The sequence below is a fragment of the Homo sapiens genome, chromosome X, assembly GCF_000001405.40.
Source record: "Homo sapiens chromosome X, GRCh38.p14 Primary Assembly".
Taxonomy (NCBI): domain Eukaryota; kingdom Metazoa; phylum Chordata; class Mammalia; order Primates; family Hominidae; genus Homo; species Homo sapiens.
In genome coordinates this window covers 81,268,943-81,284,774 of record NC_000023.11, presented here as the reverse complement: position 1 = coordinate 81,284,774, position 15,832 = coordinate 81,268,943, and the positions used below count along the sequence as shown (strand labels likewise).

At 40.1% G+C, this 15,832-nt stretch overlaps 1 protein-coding gene across 4 annotated transcripts in view; it reads right to left on the bottom strand.

Annotated features, from left to right (window-relative positions):
• SH3BGRL (SH3 domain binding glutamate rich protein like) overlaps positions 1–15,832 on the bottom strand; it is a 96,446-nt gene that overhangs the window by 13,773 nt on the left and 66,841 nt on the right. For all 4 annotated transcript variants that reach the window (XM_011531014.2, NM_003022.3, XM_047442354.1 and 1 more), the window contains 2 exons: positions 7,606–7,791; positions 6,364–6,444 (listed from right to left, as the gene is read on the bottom strand). In XM_011531014.2, coding sequence (XP_011529316.1) covers positions 6,364–6,444; positions 7,606–7,791 — 267 coding nt within the window. The remainder of the gene's footprint in view (positions 1–6,363; positions 6,445–7,605; positions 7,792–15,832) is intronic.

Below are 15,832 nucleotides of genomic sequence, written 5' to 3'. Positions count from 1 at the left end.
GCCAATTTTCAACTGAATCTGTTCAATTCTCCTCAGGGATCTAATGTTTCAAATTTCCCCTCACTCCTTGCGGATAAGTTTTCCTCCTGCCTTATACTTTCAAATCTGACTTTCCCTAACCTTCCCACACATTAAAATTTCTCTTTATTTTTATTCCTTTCTCCTAATTTCATCCACTCTCAGAACACCACATGCTATTTCCAAGGCTAACTTCTTCCCTGGATCACTGACTTTTCTATTTCCTCCATGATCTTTTCTTCATTTCCCAATCACCAAGGTTAGAGATCCCATGGCTAGCTTTAATCCCGCTCAGGTCTTTACAGGCACAAGCAACTCATTAATTCCTAAATCCTGTAACTTTTTTTTTTTTTGGTGGGGGGAGGCTCCTAAATCCATCTTTTCCTTTCCAAAACTGCTGTCCCATTTTAGGCCCTCTCAATCACTTTTTGATTTCATATGAATTTTAGGATTTTTTTCTATGAAGAAGGATAGTGGTATTTTAATGGGAATTGCATTGAATTTGTAGATTGCTTTTGGCAGTTTGGTCATTTTCACAATATTGATTGTATCCATCCATGAGCATGGGATGTGTTTCCATTTTTGTGTTATCTATGATTTCTTTCAGCAGTGTTTTGCAGTTTTCCTTGTAGAGGTCTTTCTACTCCTTGGTTAGGTATATTCCTAAGTGGGTTTTTTTTTTCAGCTAACATAAAAGGGGTTGAGTTCTTGATTTGATTCTCCACTTGGTCACTGTTGGTGTATAGAAGAGCTACTGATTTGTGTATATTAATCTTGGATCTGGAAATTTTGCTGAATTCTTTTATCGTTCTGGGAGCTTTCTGGAGGAGTCCTTAGGGTTTTCAAGATAAATGATCCTATCATCAGCAAACAGTGACCAATTGACTTCCTTTTTACCAATTTGGATGCCCTTTATTTCTTTCTCTTGTCTGATTGCAATGGCTAAGACTTCCAGTACCATGTTGAAGAGTAGTGGTGACAGTGGGCATCCATGTCTTGCTCTAGTTCTCAGTGGGAATGTTTTCAACTTTTCCCCATTCTGTATTATGTTGGCTGTGGGTTTGTCATAGGTGGCTTTTATTACATTAAGGTATGTCCCTTGTATGCTGATTTTGCTGAGAGTTTTAATCATAAAGTGATGCTGGATTTTGTTGAATGCTTTTTCTGCATCTATTGAGCTGATTATGTAACTTTTGTTTTTAATTCTGTTTATGTGGTGCATCACATTTATTGACTTGTGTGTGTTAAACCATCCCTGCATCCCTGGTATGAAACCCATTTGATCATGGTGGATTATCTTTTTGCTTTTTTGTTGGATTCAGTTAACTAGTATTCTCTTAAGGATTTTAGCATCTATGTTCATCAAGGATATTGGTGTGTAGTTTTCTTTTTTGGTTGTGTCCTTTCCTGATTTTGGTATTAGGGTGATGCTGGCTTCATAGAATGAGTTAGAGAGGGTTCCTTCTTTCATTATCTTGTGGAATAGAGTCCAACAGATTGGTATTAATTCTTCTTTGAAAGTCTAGTAGAATTCTGCTGTGAATCAGGCTAATCCTGGACTTTTTGGTTGGTAATTTTTAAATTACCATTTCAATCTTGATGCCTGTTATTGGTCTTTTAAATGTATCTGATTCTTTCTGATTTAAGCTAGGAAAGTGATATTTTTCCAGGAATTTATCCATTCTCTTCTAGGTTTTCTAGTTTATGCGCATAGAGGTGTTCATATTAGCCTTGAATGATCTTATGTATTTCAGTGGTGTCAGTTATAATATTTCCTGTTTCATTTCTTAGTGAAGTTATTTGGATTTCCTTTATTCTTTTCTTGGTTAATCTTGCTAATGGTCTATCCATTTTAATCTTTTCAAAGAACCAGCTTTTTGTTTCATTTTATCTTTTGTATTTTTTTGTTTCAATTTAATTTAGTTATGTTCTGATCTTGGTTATTTCTTTCTTCTTCTGGGTTTGGGTTTGGTTTGTTCTTGTTTCTTTAGTTCTTTGAAGTGTGACCTTAGATTGTTTGTGCTCTTTCAGACTTTTTGATGTAGGCGTTTAGGGCCATAAACTTTCCTCTTAGCACCACCTTTGCTGTATCCCAGAGGTTTTGATAGGTTGTGTCATTACTGTCATTCAGTTTAAAGAATTTTTTAATTTCCATCTTGATTTTGTTTTTAACCCAATGCTCATTCAGGAGCAGGTTATTTACTTTCCATGTATTTCCATGGTTTTGAAGGTTCCTTTTGGAGTTGATTTCCAGTTTTATTCCACTGTGGTCTCAGAAAGTGCTTGATATAATATCAATTTTCTTAAATTTATTGAGGCTCATTTTATGGCCTATCATATGGTCTATGTTGGAGAAAGTTCCATGTGCTGTTGAATAGAATGTGTATTCTGCAGTTGGATAAAATGTTCTGTATATATCTGTTAAGTTCATTTGCTCCAAGGTAGAGTTTAAATCCATTGTTTCTTTGTTGACTTTCTGTGTTGATGACCTGTCTAGTGCTGTCAGTGGGATATTGAATTCCCCCACTATTATTGTGTTGCTGTCTATCTCATTTCTTGGGTCTATTAGTAATTGTTTTATAAATTTGAAAGCTCCAGTGTTAGGTGCATATATGTTTAAGATTGTGATATTTTCCTGTTGGATAAGGTCTTTCACCATTATATAATGTCCCTCTTTGTCTCTTTTACCACTGTTGCTTTAAAGTTTGTTTTGTCTGTTATAAGAATAGTTGCCCCACTCTCATTTGGTGTCCATATGCATGAAATACCTTTTTCCACCCCTTTACTTTATGTGCCTCCTTATGTGTTAGGTGAGTCTCCTGAAGGCAGCAGATAGTTGGTTGGCGAGTTCTTATCCATTCTGCAGTTCTGTATCTTTCAAGTGAAGCATTTAAGCCATTTACATTCAATGATAGCATGGAAATGTGAGGTACCATTGCATTCATTGTGCTCTTTGTTGCCTGTGTACTCTAGATTTTTTCATTGTTGTTTTTTGCTTTTGCTTTCAAGCTTGTATTTTTGTTTTATAGGTCCTGTGTGATTTATGCCTTAAAGAGGTTCTGTTTTGATGTGTTTCCAGGATTCCTTTCAAGATTTAGAGCTCCTGTAGTGGTGGCTTGATAATGGCGAATTCTCTCAGCATTTGTTTGTCTGAAAAGAGCTGAATCTTTCCTTCATATATGATGCTTAATTTCACTGGATACAAAATTGTTGGCTGATAATCATTTTGTTTAAGGAGGCTGAAGATAGGGCCTTAATCCCTTCTAGCTTGTAGGGTTTTTGCTGAGAAATCTGCAGTTAATCTGATAGGTTTTCCTTTATAGGTTACCTAGTGCTTCTGTCTCACAGCTCTTATTTCCTTTGTCTTAACTTTGGATAACCTGATGACAGTGTGCCTAAGGCGAAGATCTTTTTGGAATGGATTTCCCAGGTGTTCTTTGTGCTTCTTGTATTTGGATGTATATATATCTAGCTAGGCCAGGGAAGTTTTCCTTGATTATTCCCCCAAATATGTTTTCCAAGATTTTAGAATTCTCTTCTTCCTCAGGAACTCCAATTATTCTTAGGTTTGGTCGTTTAACATAATCTCAGACTTCTTGGAGGCTTTGTTCGTATTTTCTTATTCTTTTTTCTTTGTCTTTGTTGGATTGGGTTAATTCAAAGACCTTGTCTTTGAGCTCTTAATTTCTTTCTTCTACTTGTTCAATTCTATTGCTGAGACTTTCCAAAGCATTTCGTGTTTCTAAAAGTGCATCCAAAGTTTCCTGAATTTTTTATTGTTTTTTTCCTTACACTGTCTATTTCATTGAATATTTCTCCCTTTACTTCTCGTATCATTTTTTGGATTTCCTTGCATTGGGCTTTGCCTTTCTCTGTTCCCTCCCTGATTAGCTTAATAACTAACCCCCTGAATTCTTTTTCAGGTAAATCAGGGATTTCTTCTTGATTTGGATCATTGCTGGTGAGCTAGTGTGATTTTTTTGCAGATGTTGAAGGGAACTGTTTTGTCATATTACCACTGTTGGTTTTCTGGTTCCTTCTCACTTGGGTAGGCTCTGTCAGAGGGAAGGTCTAAGGCTGAAGGCTGTTGTTCAGATTATTTTGTCCCATGGGGTGCTCCCTTGATGTAGTACTCTCCCCCTTTTCCTATGGATGTGGCTTCTGTGAGCCAAACTGCAGTGATTGTTGTCTCTCTTCTGGGTCTAGCTACCCAGCGAGTCTACCCAGATCCTGGTTGGTACTGGCGGTTGTCTGCACAGAGTCCTGCGATGTGAACCATCTATGGGTCTCTCAGCCATGCATACCAGTGCCTGGTCTGGTGGAGGAGGTGGAGGGTGCAATGGACTCCGTGAGGGTCCTAAGCTTTGGTGGTTTAATGCTCTATTTTTATGCTGGTTGGCCAGGAGGTGGCGCTTTCCAGAAACCATCAGCTGTAGTATTGCGGAGAGGGACCCGCAGTAGGCAGGGCCCTAGAACTTCCAAGATTATATGCTCTTTGTCTTCCACTACCAGGGTGGAAAGGGAAGGACCATCAGGTGGGGGAGGGGCTGGGCATGTCTGAGCTCAGACTCTCCTCGGGTGGGTCTTGCTGTGGCTGCTGTGAGGGGTGGGGGTGAGATTCCCAGGTCACTGGAGTTCTATACCTAGGATGGCTTCCTCTGCTGAGTCAGGCAGATTGTCAGGGAAGTCCTGTAAAATCAGCAGTCACAGGCCTCACTCAGCTCCCAGGTAAACCGAAGGGTTGGTCTCACTTCCACCAAGCCCCCGTCCAACAGCCCTGAGTCTGTTTCCAGGTGGAGGGCAAGAGGGGCTTAAAAATTCACCCAAGGCTATCCACCTCCCAGCTGCGAAAGAAAAGGGTTTTGGTTCTTCCCTTGCCTGTGAAGTCTGCAAGCGAGATTTGCACCCTCCCCCGAGTTCTGGCCAGGAGGCTTCTTCCCCTTTCGAATTGTTACAAAATTTGGCTAGAGAATTCCTTCTTTCTGTGGAGTTTTAACCCCTGCTCCTCTGGCCACCCTCCCGATGGATCCCTATGGTGCCAGGCAGAAATGAGCTGCCTGGGGACCCAGCGAGATACCAGGGCCTTCCTGTTGCTTCCTTTACCCCTGTATTTCGCTGGGCTCTCTAACTTGACTCAGCTCCAGGTAAAGTTGGAAACTTCTCCCGCAAACAGACCTTCAGTTTCTCCAGTGAGGGTATCTGTTCGGGAGAGGAGGGTCTCCCTTTTCCACTTCCTCAGTTGGGGCACTCACAGTATTTGGGGTGTCTCCTGAGTCCTACATGAGCAGTCCACTTCCTTGAGAGGGTCTGTGGGTCCTCTCAGGATTGCTGGTTTGTTCTTGCAGTCTATTTGGGGCTAAAATGCACAATGCAAGCCTCCAGATGCTGCTCTGTCTGGATTGCAGATGCTGCAATCTAGTACTCTATCTTATTTAAAGAAAAGTGCCTTACCTCACTTTTCTTATGGCTCAAATTGTACAAAGCCTAAAATATAAGATTTTATCCATGGGAAAAGAAAGTTCGGCAAGAAAACCATTTTACAATGACATGAACACAGTACTAGTAAATTTTTGTCTAGTGAAAACAGACAATAACACAGCCTTTTAAAATAGGAGAGGGAATTGGAGTTCAAAGAATCTGTCTAACATACAATTAGTTGCTAAGAGCAAAACATAAAATGACAGAGCAAGAGACACGCATTTTGATTAAGGCAGTTTGTGTGAAGAACTACTATAAAAGGCAAAGGTATGTTTAAAGTTGATAGTTTGGGGACATCTCACTAGACAGGCAACTTTATTGTTGCTTTCTTTATTTGGTCTCTCCTGAAAATGCTGCTACTTAAAAAATTAATTTGTGTTGGCAGGAAAAAAGCCTCAAATTTGGCGAGCAATTTAGTGACCAGTTTTGCAATGCAGATGCTCTTAATTAACTTGAATGGATGACTCTATCATTTGCTCTCACACAAAGACAATAAGTGCTGCCAAGGAGATTACCATGAACTAAGATGCTTACTGTCGATGTAGAACCATGCAGGACAGCTGGAATAATGAAGGCTTTAAAATTGCTAAGCACTTATCTGTGCATAGGTCAATGAGAAATTTGCTCCCATGGGCAGCTTGATGGGGAAGTCACTCTACCTACCTGCTAAACACATAGTTTATGCATTTGGTTATGCACATCTTTCTGCCCTAATAGGAATTAAGTGGATGCAGAGAAGGCACTTTTTGCTATAAAGGATTGTCTCTGACTTAATTTGAATACTTAACAAAAATGAAAATCTTACTGATTAAAAAAGTTCAGCAGCAATAAAATGACCTATAAAACAGGAAAAAAAGGGTATCATACCTTTGAACCAGGTGGGGCTGTCAAGCCTAAGAAGGCATACACTGCATTATTTTCTCTGGCTTCAAAGAAGGCATCATAGTCCTTGATGAAAAGAAGATAAGATGAATTAGCAATATGCAACCAATAAAAGAAAAAAAGGAAATTTATTCAGCCGAAAGCAGTGGCTCACGCCTGTAATCCCAACACTTTGGGAGGCCGAGGTGGGCGGATCACCTAAGGTTGGGAGTTTGAGACCAGCCTGACCAACATGGAGAAACCCTGTCTCTACTAAAAATACAAAAATTAGCCAGGGGTGGGGGCACATGCCTGTAATCCCCGCTACTTGGAAGGTTGCGGCAGGAGAATCGCTTGAGCCTGGGAGGCGGAGGTTGCAGTGAGCCAAGATCACCCCACTGCACTCCAGCCTGGGCAACAGGAGGGAAACTCCATCTCAAGAAAAAAAGGAGATTTATTCAGAATGACCTGACTGGTCGACAGAATCATCTACCTCCTTGGGGACAGAGAGACTAACTTCCATAATACTAGAATTCTGGAAGGAATAAGGAGTAATAAAGAGGCAAGGCTTCTGGATCTTATTTAATATAGGTTGAAAAGTATGCTATTCTATGTCACAAAAACTGCAGAATGATTTATTCCACATCACATGGAATTTAACTCTGCCTGCAGCTTCCTCCACCATGCAAAACAGCCACCTATTTCCCAGTAAGAAGATGTTTATTTCTGGTCAGACACTGTTGTTTCCATTCACCATATTTCTGTTCCATTATTCATTTAGGTTGAGATTTTCTCAGAGCCTACAATAGACTAGATATTAGCTAGACATGCCCAAGGCCAGAAGAATAGTTAATCTTTGCTGTGTTTTGAGAAAGGCAATGAGATGTCCATGATGCATGACCAGAAGAGCAACCAAACTGCTAAGAGGTTTCAACCTGGGGAATGCAAGAGAATCTTCACATGACTAAATTTGGTTGGGATTCCTACTGTCATCTTATAAGCCACAACACATTCTCAAAAAGTAACAAATAAACTTTCCTAAATTTGGCTGTGATGCATAATCAATAGCAAACATATTTAGAAAATGTAGCCATTGTCTACATCCAGCCTTTGAGTGGATGGAAAGGACAAATGACTATATGCAAGAGATATGACTATATATATGCAGGCTTGGAGGCAGAGGTGAAAATAATGGATAGATTTGGGGCAATCTATTACAATAAACAAGAATTTAAATTGTTTTCTTACCCCGCGATACTGGCTTTCATTGAAAATCTGAGGTGGCAGGGGGTAACCTGTGGCTGGTCGACTATTTTCAGGTACATTTTCTCTCATCCACTTCCGATTCTCTTCATTGGCTGCAATATCTTTTTCTTCAAATCCTATTTTGTTGGCTTCTAGGAAACCAAGCACATCTTGTTGTTTCTTCTTAATCTAGGACCAAAGGACAAGAAACCGTATTTTCCAAATTCAACAAAAGTCAAATGTTTGTGAGCTGGCAGAAATGAATTCAGACAGAACAAAGATTGTGGTTTCACAGAAGTTATATGATTTTCACTCTTTATTATTGTATTGTTAATAATGCCTCACAAGTATATTGAAGAGCTTTTGGTCCACTGGTCCTTTTATCAAGTTGAATTTCTCTTTTTTTTTTCCATTGAAAATTTTCATTATTTAATGATGTACATGCAAAACTAACTGATGCATATCAATATCTAAAAATGCAGTTAACTCCAAATTATGTGCAGTGAAAAGTTATGTTTTCTGATACTCTACAAGCCTCTCTTAGTTTCAGCCTTTCAAGAAAGTTTTTTCCAAATGATGCGTCTGCTTCCCATCTTAACAAGAATTGTATATGCAATAGAAATGAATCTTTCCTTGACAAAGTGCACAGGCTTCAAGAGTCATTCAAGTCTCAATTTTCAGTGTTCAAAACAGAAACTGAACAAGAATATATTAGCTAATCCTACAAACTATAAAGTTTGCAATATATCTGTACCATTCATTAGCCCTTATCATGTGCTGCTAAGGTATCTTTTATGTGTATTATGTATTAGGTTGGTGCAAAAGTAATTGCAGTTTTGGTCATTACCTTCAATAGCAAAAACTGCAATTACCTTTGCACCAACCTAATATGTTCATCTAGATAACCAGGTGGAGATGGCACATGTATTCTGTCTCCTTATCATAGCTAGAAGAGAGCTTTGAAAACAGTAAAATTAATACTATTCAGTTCAGTTTCTCTTCCGACATGCATTTCTTTTAGAACCTGTATTCACACATCAATGGTAATTAACCCCTATTTAAAACCATAACTTAACATTTCTGAGTTATAGGACCGTAATCAATAAGCAAGTTTCTTCATGGAATCACATTAAAATAAAGACACATGGAGTGTTGTCATCAAAAAATAAAATAAAATAAATCTGTCTGCCAATGAGAATAAAAATGCAAAATAAGAAACTCACAATCAAGTCCCTCTCTGGATTTACACCCCTCCATCTACCCCCACATACATGCATATATGCATAAAAGTTGTGTTTTTGTCTTTCTAAGTTGCTCGTGATTGTGATTAAATAATTTTCTCTCTCATCACATAAACTCGGGAAAATAATTCTCAATTTCTCCCAAAAGAAACGGAAAGTTTTCAATGCTATTTAGATTAGGGTACTGAATGTCCCTCTTTAAAGATCAGTTAGAATCTAGCAAAACTTGCTACAAGGTAATTTTTCTAATGGGAATTCTGTTTTTTAATTGGCTTATAAAATCAAACTTTCATTCCTAAATGTAACATATGCCCTCTTTTGAACTGAGAAAAATCAATGTAAAACTCAATAAATAGGAGTGCCTAGTGGACTAATGCACTTGATGAAAGGTTCCATTAAATCAATGGTTTCAATTTCTGAGGTACAGTAGGTGGGTTCAGTCAATGTCAATTGTGTCAAGTAATTTGTCGATCATTAGCATATTTACAAATTTGAGTAGATATAAAGATGTCCTATTAAGACTGTACTTTCAAGGCTGGGCACGGTGGCTCTCATCTGTAATCCCAGCATTTTGGGAGGCTGAAGCAGGAGGATTGCTTGAGCCCAGGAATTCGAGACTGGCCTGGGCAACGTGTGAAAACCCCATACTTTGAGGGAACTTGCATTCCAACAGATTTTTTTTTTTGAATGAGTGAAGAGACATGCTAAGAATTTTACATACATGACCCTGGCAGAATGTCATCAGTCACATTTGCATGAGCAGAGGACCTTTAAGATAAATTATTTTTTGAGGCTTTTCCTACCTTATTGAATGCTTACTTTGTCGAGAACATGACTCACTGTGCTAAGTTAAAATGGTCGCCAGGCCTGGTATCACTAGGCATGATAGTGTACCTTCACTGAAGTAATTACTCTCCAGCCATCAGTTGGAGAGTAATGACCAAGTATTTCTCCCATGCCCTGAGATTGCCTGATGACAAGTACACATACCTACTAGTGTGTTCTACATCTCCATAAAGCTGAACAGAATTGGCCATAATCACACTTTGCTAATAGGTTCTGCCATGTCAAATATGAACTTTTGTTCAGCTTTGAATCTTCAGGGAAAGTTAAAAAAAAATGTTTCCTAACTTGATCAAATTTTCAAGTCCAAAATTTCACATATTAAGTTTATTTCCAAGAAGGAATCTATTCCTTTAATTTTTTTTTTCCAAGATAGGGTCTTGCTGTTTCACCCAGGCTGGAATGCAGTATCATGAGCTTGCATCACTGCAGCTTCAAACTCCTGCACTCAAGTGGAGATTTCTAATATATAAATAATTATTGCTTTTTTTTTTTCTGAGACAGAGTCTAGCTCTGTCGCCCAGGCTAGAGTGCAGTGGCGTGATCTCAGCTCACTTCAAGTGATTTCTTCTGCCTCAGCCTCCTGAGTAGCTGGGATTACAGGCGCACACCACCAAACCCGGCTAATTTTTGTATTTTTAGTAGAGACGGGGTTTCACCATGTTGGTCAGGCTGGTCTCGAACTCCTGACCTCATGATCTGTCCAACTTGGCCTCCCAAAGTGCTGGGATTACAGGCATGAGCCACTGCACCCAGCCAATTATTGTCTTTCTTATACACCTATAGGCACATGTTCACTATAACACACACTTATAAGGGAGCATCTGGTGATGGTAATTTCCTAATTTCCCTAATAGGACTTAAAATAAGGGGACACAGTGAATGCATGAGACTGAAAACCATATATTGCCAGAACCAAGAGGAATAGGTGTCACAAGGGTTCATTTAGAAATAAAATTTAAATTTCTTCCAGGATAAAAATGACTTTGGAGTTAAAAGGCTATTGATACCCTTTTCAGCAAATAAATGCATTTGCAAGTGGACAATGCACTGTCCAGGAATTTAAATAAATATTTTTCAAACAGTAAACCACACCCCTCACCTCTACCGAAAGAATTCCAAGTCATTTCTGTCCACATGTTAGATTTTTGAGATTCAGGGTATTCTTCTCTCCAAAGACACAGAGCAGGTACATTAAACAATTGTTTCCTGGAGTAAACAGTTGTCTTCCCACAAGTCTTAGCAAGCTCCCTTTCTGTCATGCTAAGGGTCAAGTTTCTTTCAAAAAAGGGGAGTGACAAAGTTTCTGCTTTAGAAGGTGCCAGTGTGAATGTTGCAAATACCAAAGAAAGATCAAAACTTCACCAATGATGCTTCAAATGGGAAAATACCCTTTTTATAAAAGAAAGTGTCGACCTTCCAAAAAAAAAAAAAAAAAACCATTTAACCAAAGTGGGAATTTTGCCTTTTTTAATGATCAACCTCTATCACACTTTCTCTACTAACAGTTAATTAACATTGACAGAAGTTCTTGACTATGATGTGCTAAAATATAAAATGATTGTCAGAAGTAATTCAACAATATTTCTTGAGTGTCTCTTAAGTGACTCTCAATGAACTTTGTTAGACTCTCTAAACTAGCTAAAGATAAATAGGCGTGATCCCTTCCTCACATTACAATCTATTGGGAGAGATTAGAAATAGATATATTTAAAAGTTCAATTACAATAGCGTATTTAAATAAGAAGCTAAGACAACAATACAAGGTTGTTAGGTGAGAGGAGCCAAGAGAATGGCAACGCCAATGAGAGAAGAGAGAACAAGCATTTATTGCTATTAGCAATGCCACTTAGACTAAGCTTAATAAGGAGAGCACAAATGTTAGATTTTTAATCCTTCTATATTGCATACAATCTATAGTTCTGGTGAAAGGATGACATACTTAATAAAATTTAATATAACTGGCCAACGGTAGAAACTGAGCTCACAAAGGTGACAGCATATTGAACTAGAACAATGAAGGTACAGTATTACAAAATAAACTTGGAAACTTTCTAAATGGATGCTCACAATTTCTCCTACTGAATTATTACATATAATCGAACTCTATAAATAAATCATGGTGTGTATGTGTATTTGTCTTTTTCCAAACAGGTTATAATTTTTGACTGACTCAGTCAACTTCCTCAAAGAGAAATTCAGATACGGAGTCTCCCTCCATTTGGCTCCATTTATTTCAAATGCTACCCTAGGAAGGGTCACTCTTCATTTTAGAAAAGTAATGAGCCTGGGCCAGGAGCGGTGGCTCACGCCTGTAATCCCAGCACTTTGGGAAGCCGAGGCGGGCGGATAACGAGGTCAGGAGATCGAGACCATCCTGACTAACATGGTGAAACCCCGTCTCCACTAAAAATACAAAAAATTAGCCGGGCGTGGTGTCAGGCACCTGAAGTCCCAGCTACCAGGAGGCTGATGCAGGAGAATGGCCTGAACCCAGGAGGTGGAGCTTGCAGTGAGCCCAGATCTCGCCACTGCACTCCAGCCTGGGCGGCAGAACGAGACTCTGTCTCAAAAAAAAAAAAAAAAGAAAAGAAAAAAAAGAAAAGTAATGACCCTGTCTTTGCCTACTCTGTGTCAAATGATTTAACAGTGGAGTGGATGAGGAGTGAACAAACAGCATTTAAAGCTGCCAATTCAGTCTTTTACTAAGTTACTTACAAAATACATCTAAAAGGAACATCAAATCTGAAACCCCAGTTAGTCAGTTTGGCAATAAGCGAGTGCAGTATTGCCACTGTGTAGTCTTTCAATAACCAAACAGATCTGTGTCTATTCTTAAATGAATACTGCCACGACCTACTAAACTATTGTCTTCCTTTTTTTTTTTTTTTTTGGACGCAGTCTCACTCTGTCACCCAGGCTGGAGTGCAGTGGCACGATCTCAGCTCACTGCAAGCTCTGCCTCCCGGGTTCATGCCATTCTCCCACCTCAGCCTCCTGAGTAGCTGGGACTACAGGCATCCGCCACCATGCCTGGCTAATTTTTTTTTGTATTTTTAGTAGAGACAGGGTTTCACCATGTTAGCCAGGATGGTCTCAATCTCCTGACCTCATGATCCGCCCACTTCAGCCTCCCAAAGTGCTGGGATTACAGGCATGAGCCACCATGCCCAGCCACCATTGGCTTCTTCTTGCTCAATTTCAGGGTTAACCACAGCAAGATACACCTTTTTTTTCAGCTTGTCTGTTTGCAATATTTCCAAAAGTGGTTTGATCACAATGCAACGTAATCTGATGATTATGTGTCTTGGGGTTGCTCTTCTTGAGGAGTATCTTTGTGGTGTTCTCTGTATTTCCCGAATTTGAATGTTGGCCTGTCTTGCTAGATTGGGGAAGTTCTCCTGGATAATATCCTGCAGAGTGTTTTCCAACTTGTTTCCATTCTCCCCATCACTTTCAGGTACACCAATCAGACGTAGATTTGGTCTTTTCACATAGTCCTATATTTCTTGGAGGCTTTGTTCATTTCTCTTTACCAACAAGAAACAAGTCTTGGTTAAAATGTCTAATAAGAATTTTCTTATCATTCCTCACCTGCACCCCTGGCTCCCTAGAGTTCTCGTGACAGATGTTCCAAGATGTGGCAGCATTAAAGTGTAATCTAAGATTTCCTATTTTATTCCTGCTAAAAGAAAAAGAAGATCACTTCCAAGATGGCCAAACAGGAACAGCTCTGGTCTACAACTCGCAGTGAGATTGACACAGAAGACAAGTGATTTCTGCATTTCCAACAGAGGTGCCTGGTTCATCTCACAGGGACTGGATGGACAGTGGGTGCAGCCCACAGAGGGCAAGCCAAAGCAGAGTGGGGTGTTGCCTCACTGGGGAAGTGCAAGGGGTCATAGGATTTCCCTTTCCTGGCCAAGGAAAGCTGTGAGTTACTGTACCTGGAGGAGAAGTACACTCCTGCCCAAATACTGCACTTTTCCTAAAGTCTTCGCAACCAGCCGACCAGGAGATCCCCTCCCATGCCTGGCTTGGTAGATCCCATGCCCACGGAGCCTTGCTCACTGCTAGTGCAGCAGTCTGAGATTGACCTGGGACACGGGAGCTTGGTTGGGGGGGGACGTCCACCTTTGCTGAGGATTGAGTAGGCAGTTCCATGCTCACAATGTAAACAAAGTGGCAGGGCAGCTTGAACTGGGTGGAGTCCACCCCAGCTTAGCAAGGCCTACTGCCTCTCTAGACTCCACCTGTGGGGGCAGGGTATATCTGAACAAAAGGCGGCTGACAGCTTCTCCAGACTTAAAGTTCACTGCCTGGCAGCTCTGAAGAGAGCAGTAGTTCTCCCGACATGGTGTTCGAGCTCCAATAACAGACAGACTGCCTCCTCAAGTGGGTCCCTGACCCCCGTGTAGCCTGACTGGGAGACACCTCCCAGTAGGGGCCAACAGACACCTCATACAGGTGGGTGCCCCTGTGGGACGAAGCTTCCAGAGTAAGGATCTGGCAGCAATATGTGCTGTTCTGCAGCCTCCACTGGTGATATGCAGGCAAACAGGGTCTAGAGTGGACCTCCGGCAAACGCCAACAGACCTGCAGCTGAGGGGCCTGTCTGTAGAAGTAAACCTAACAAACAGAAAGGAATAGCATCAACATCAACATCAACAAAAAGGACATCCACACCAAAACCACATCCATAGATCAGCAACATCAAAGACCAAAGGTAGATAAATCCACAAAGATGGTGAGAAACCAGAGCAGAAAGGTGGAAAATTGCAAAAACCAGAACGCCTCTTCTACAAAGGAACACAACTCCACACCAGCAAGGGAACAAAACTGGATGGAAAATGAGTTTGACGAGGAGACAGAAACAGGATTCAGAAGGTCTGTAATAACAAACTTCCCCGAGCTAAAGGAGCATGTTTTAGCCCATCACAAGGAGGATAAAAACCTTGACAAAAGGTTAGATGAATGGCTAAGTAGAATAACAAGTGTAGAGAAGAGCTTAAATGACCAGATGGAGCTGAAAACCACAGAACAAGAACTTCGTGAAGCATACACAAGCTTCAATGGCTCATTCAATCAAGCAGAAGGAAAGGATATCACTGACTGAAGATCAAATTAATGAAATAAAGTAAGAAGACAAGATTAGAGAAAAAAGAGTAAAAAGAAATGAACGAAGCCTCCAAGAAATATAGGACTATGTGAAAAGACCAAATCTACGTCTGATTGGTGTACCTGAAAGTGATGGGGAGAGTGGAAACAAGTTGGAAAACACTCTGCAGGATATTATCCAGGAGAACTTCCCCAATCTAGCAAGACAGGCCAACATTCAAATTCGGGAAATACAGAGAACACCACAAAGATACCCCTCAAGAAGAGCAACTCCAAGACACATAATCATCAGATTCACCAAGGTTGAAATGAAGGAAAAAATGTTAAGGGCAGCCAGGGAGAAAGGTCGGGTTACCCACAAAGGGAAGCCCATCAGACTAACAGTGGATCTCTCAGCAGAAACCCTACAAGCCAGAAGAGAGTGGGGGCCAATATTCAACATTCTTAAAGAAAAGAATTTTCAATCCAGAATTTCATATCCAGCGAAACTAAGCTTCATAAGTGAAGGAGAAATAAAATAGTTTACAGACAAGCAAATGCTGAGAGATTTTGTCACCACCAGGCCTGCCCTAAAAGAGCTCCTGAAGGAATTACTAAACTTGGAAAGGAGCAACTGGTACCAACCACTGCAAAAACGTGCCAAATTATAAAGACCATCAATGCTATGAAGAAACTGCATCAATTAACAGGCGAAATAACCAGCTAACATCATAATGACAGGATCAAATTCACACATAACAATATTAACCTTAAATGTAAATGGGCTAAATGCCCCAATTAAAAGACACAGACTGGCAAATTGGATAAAGAATCAAGACCCATCGGTGTGCTGTATTCAGGAGACCCATCTCACATGCAGAGACAAACATAGGCCCAAAATAAAGGGATAGAGGAAGATCTATCAAGCAAATGGAAGGCAAAAAAAGCAGGAGTTGCAATCCTGGTCTCTGATAAAACAAACTTTAAGCCAACAAAGATCAAAAGAGACAAAGAAGGCCATTACATAATGGCAAAGGGCTCAATTCAAC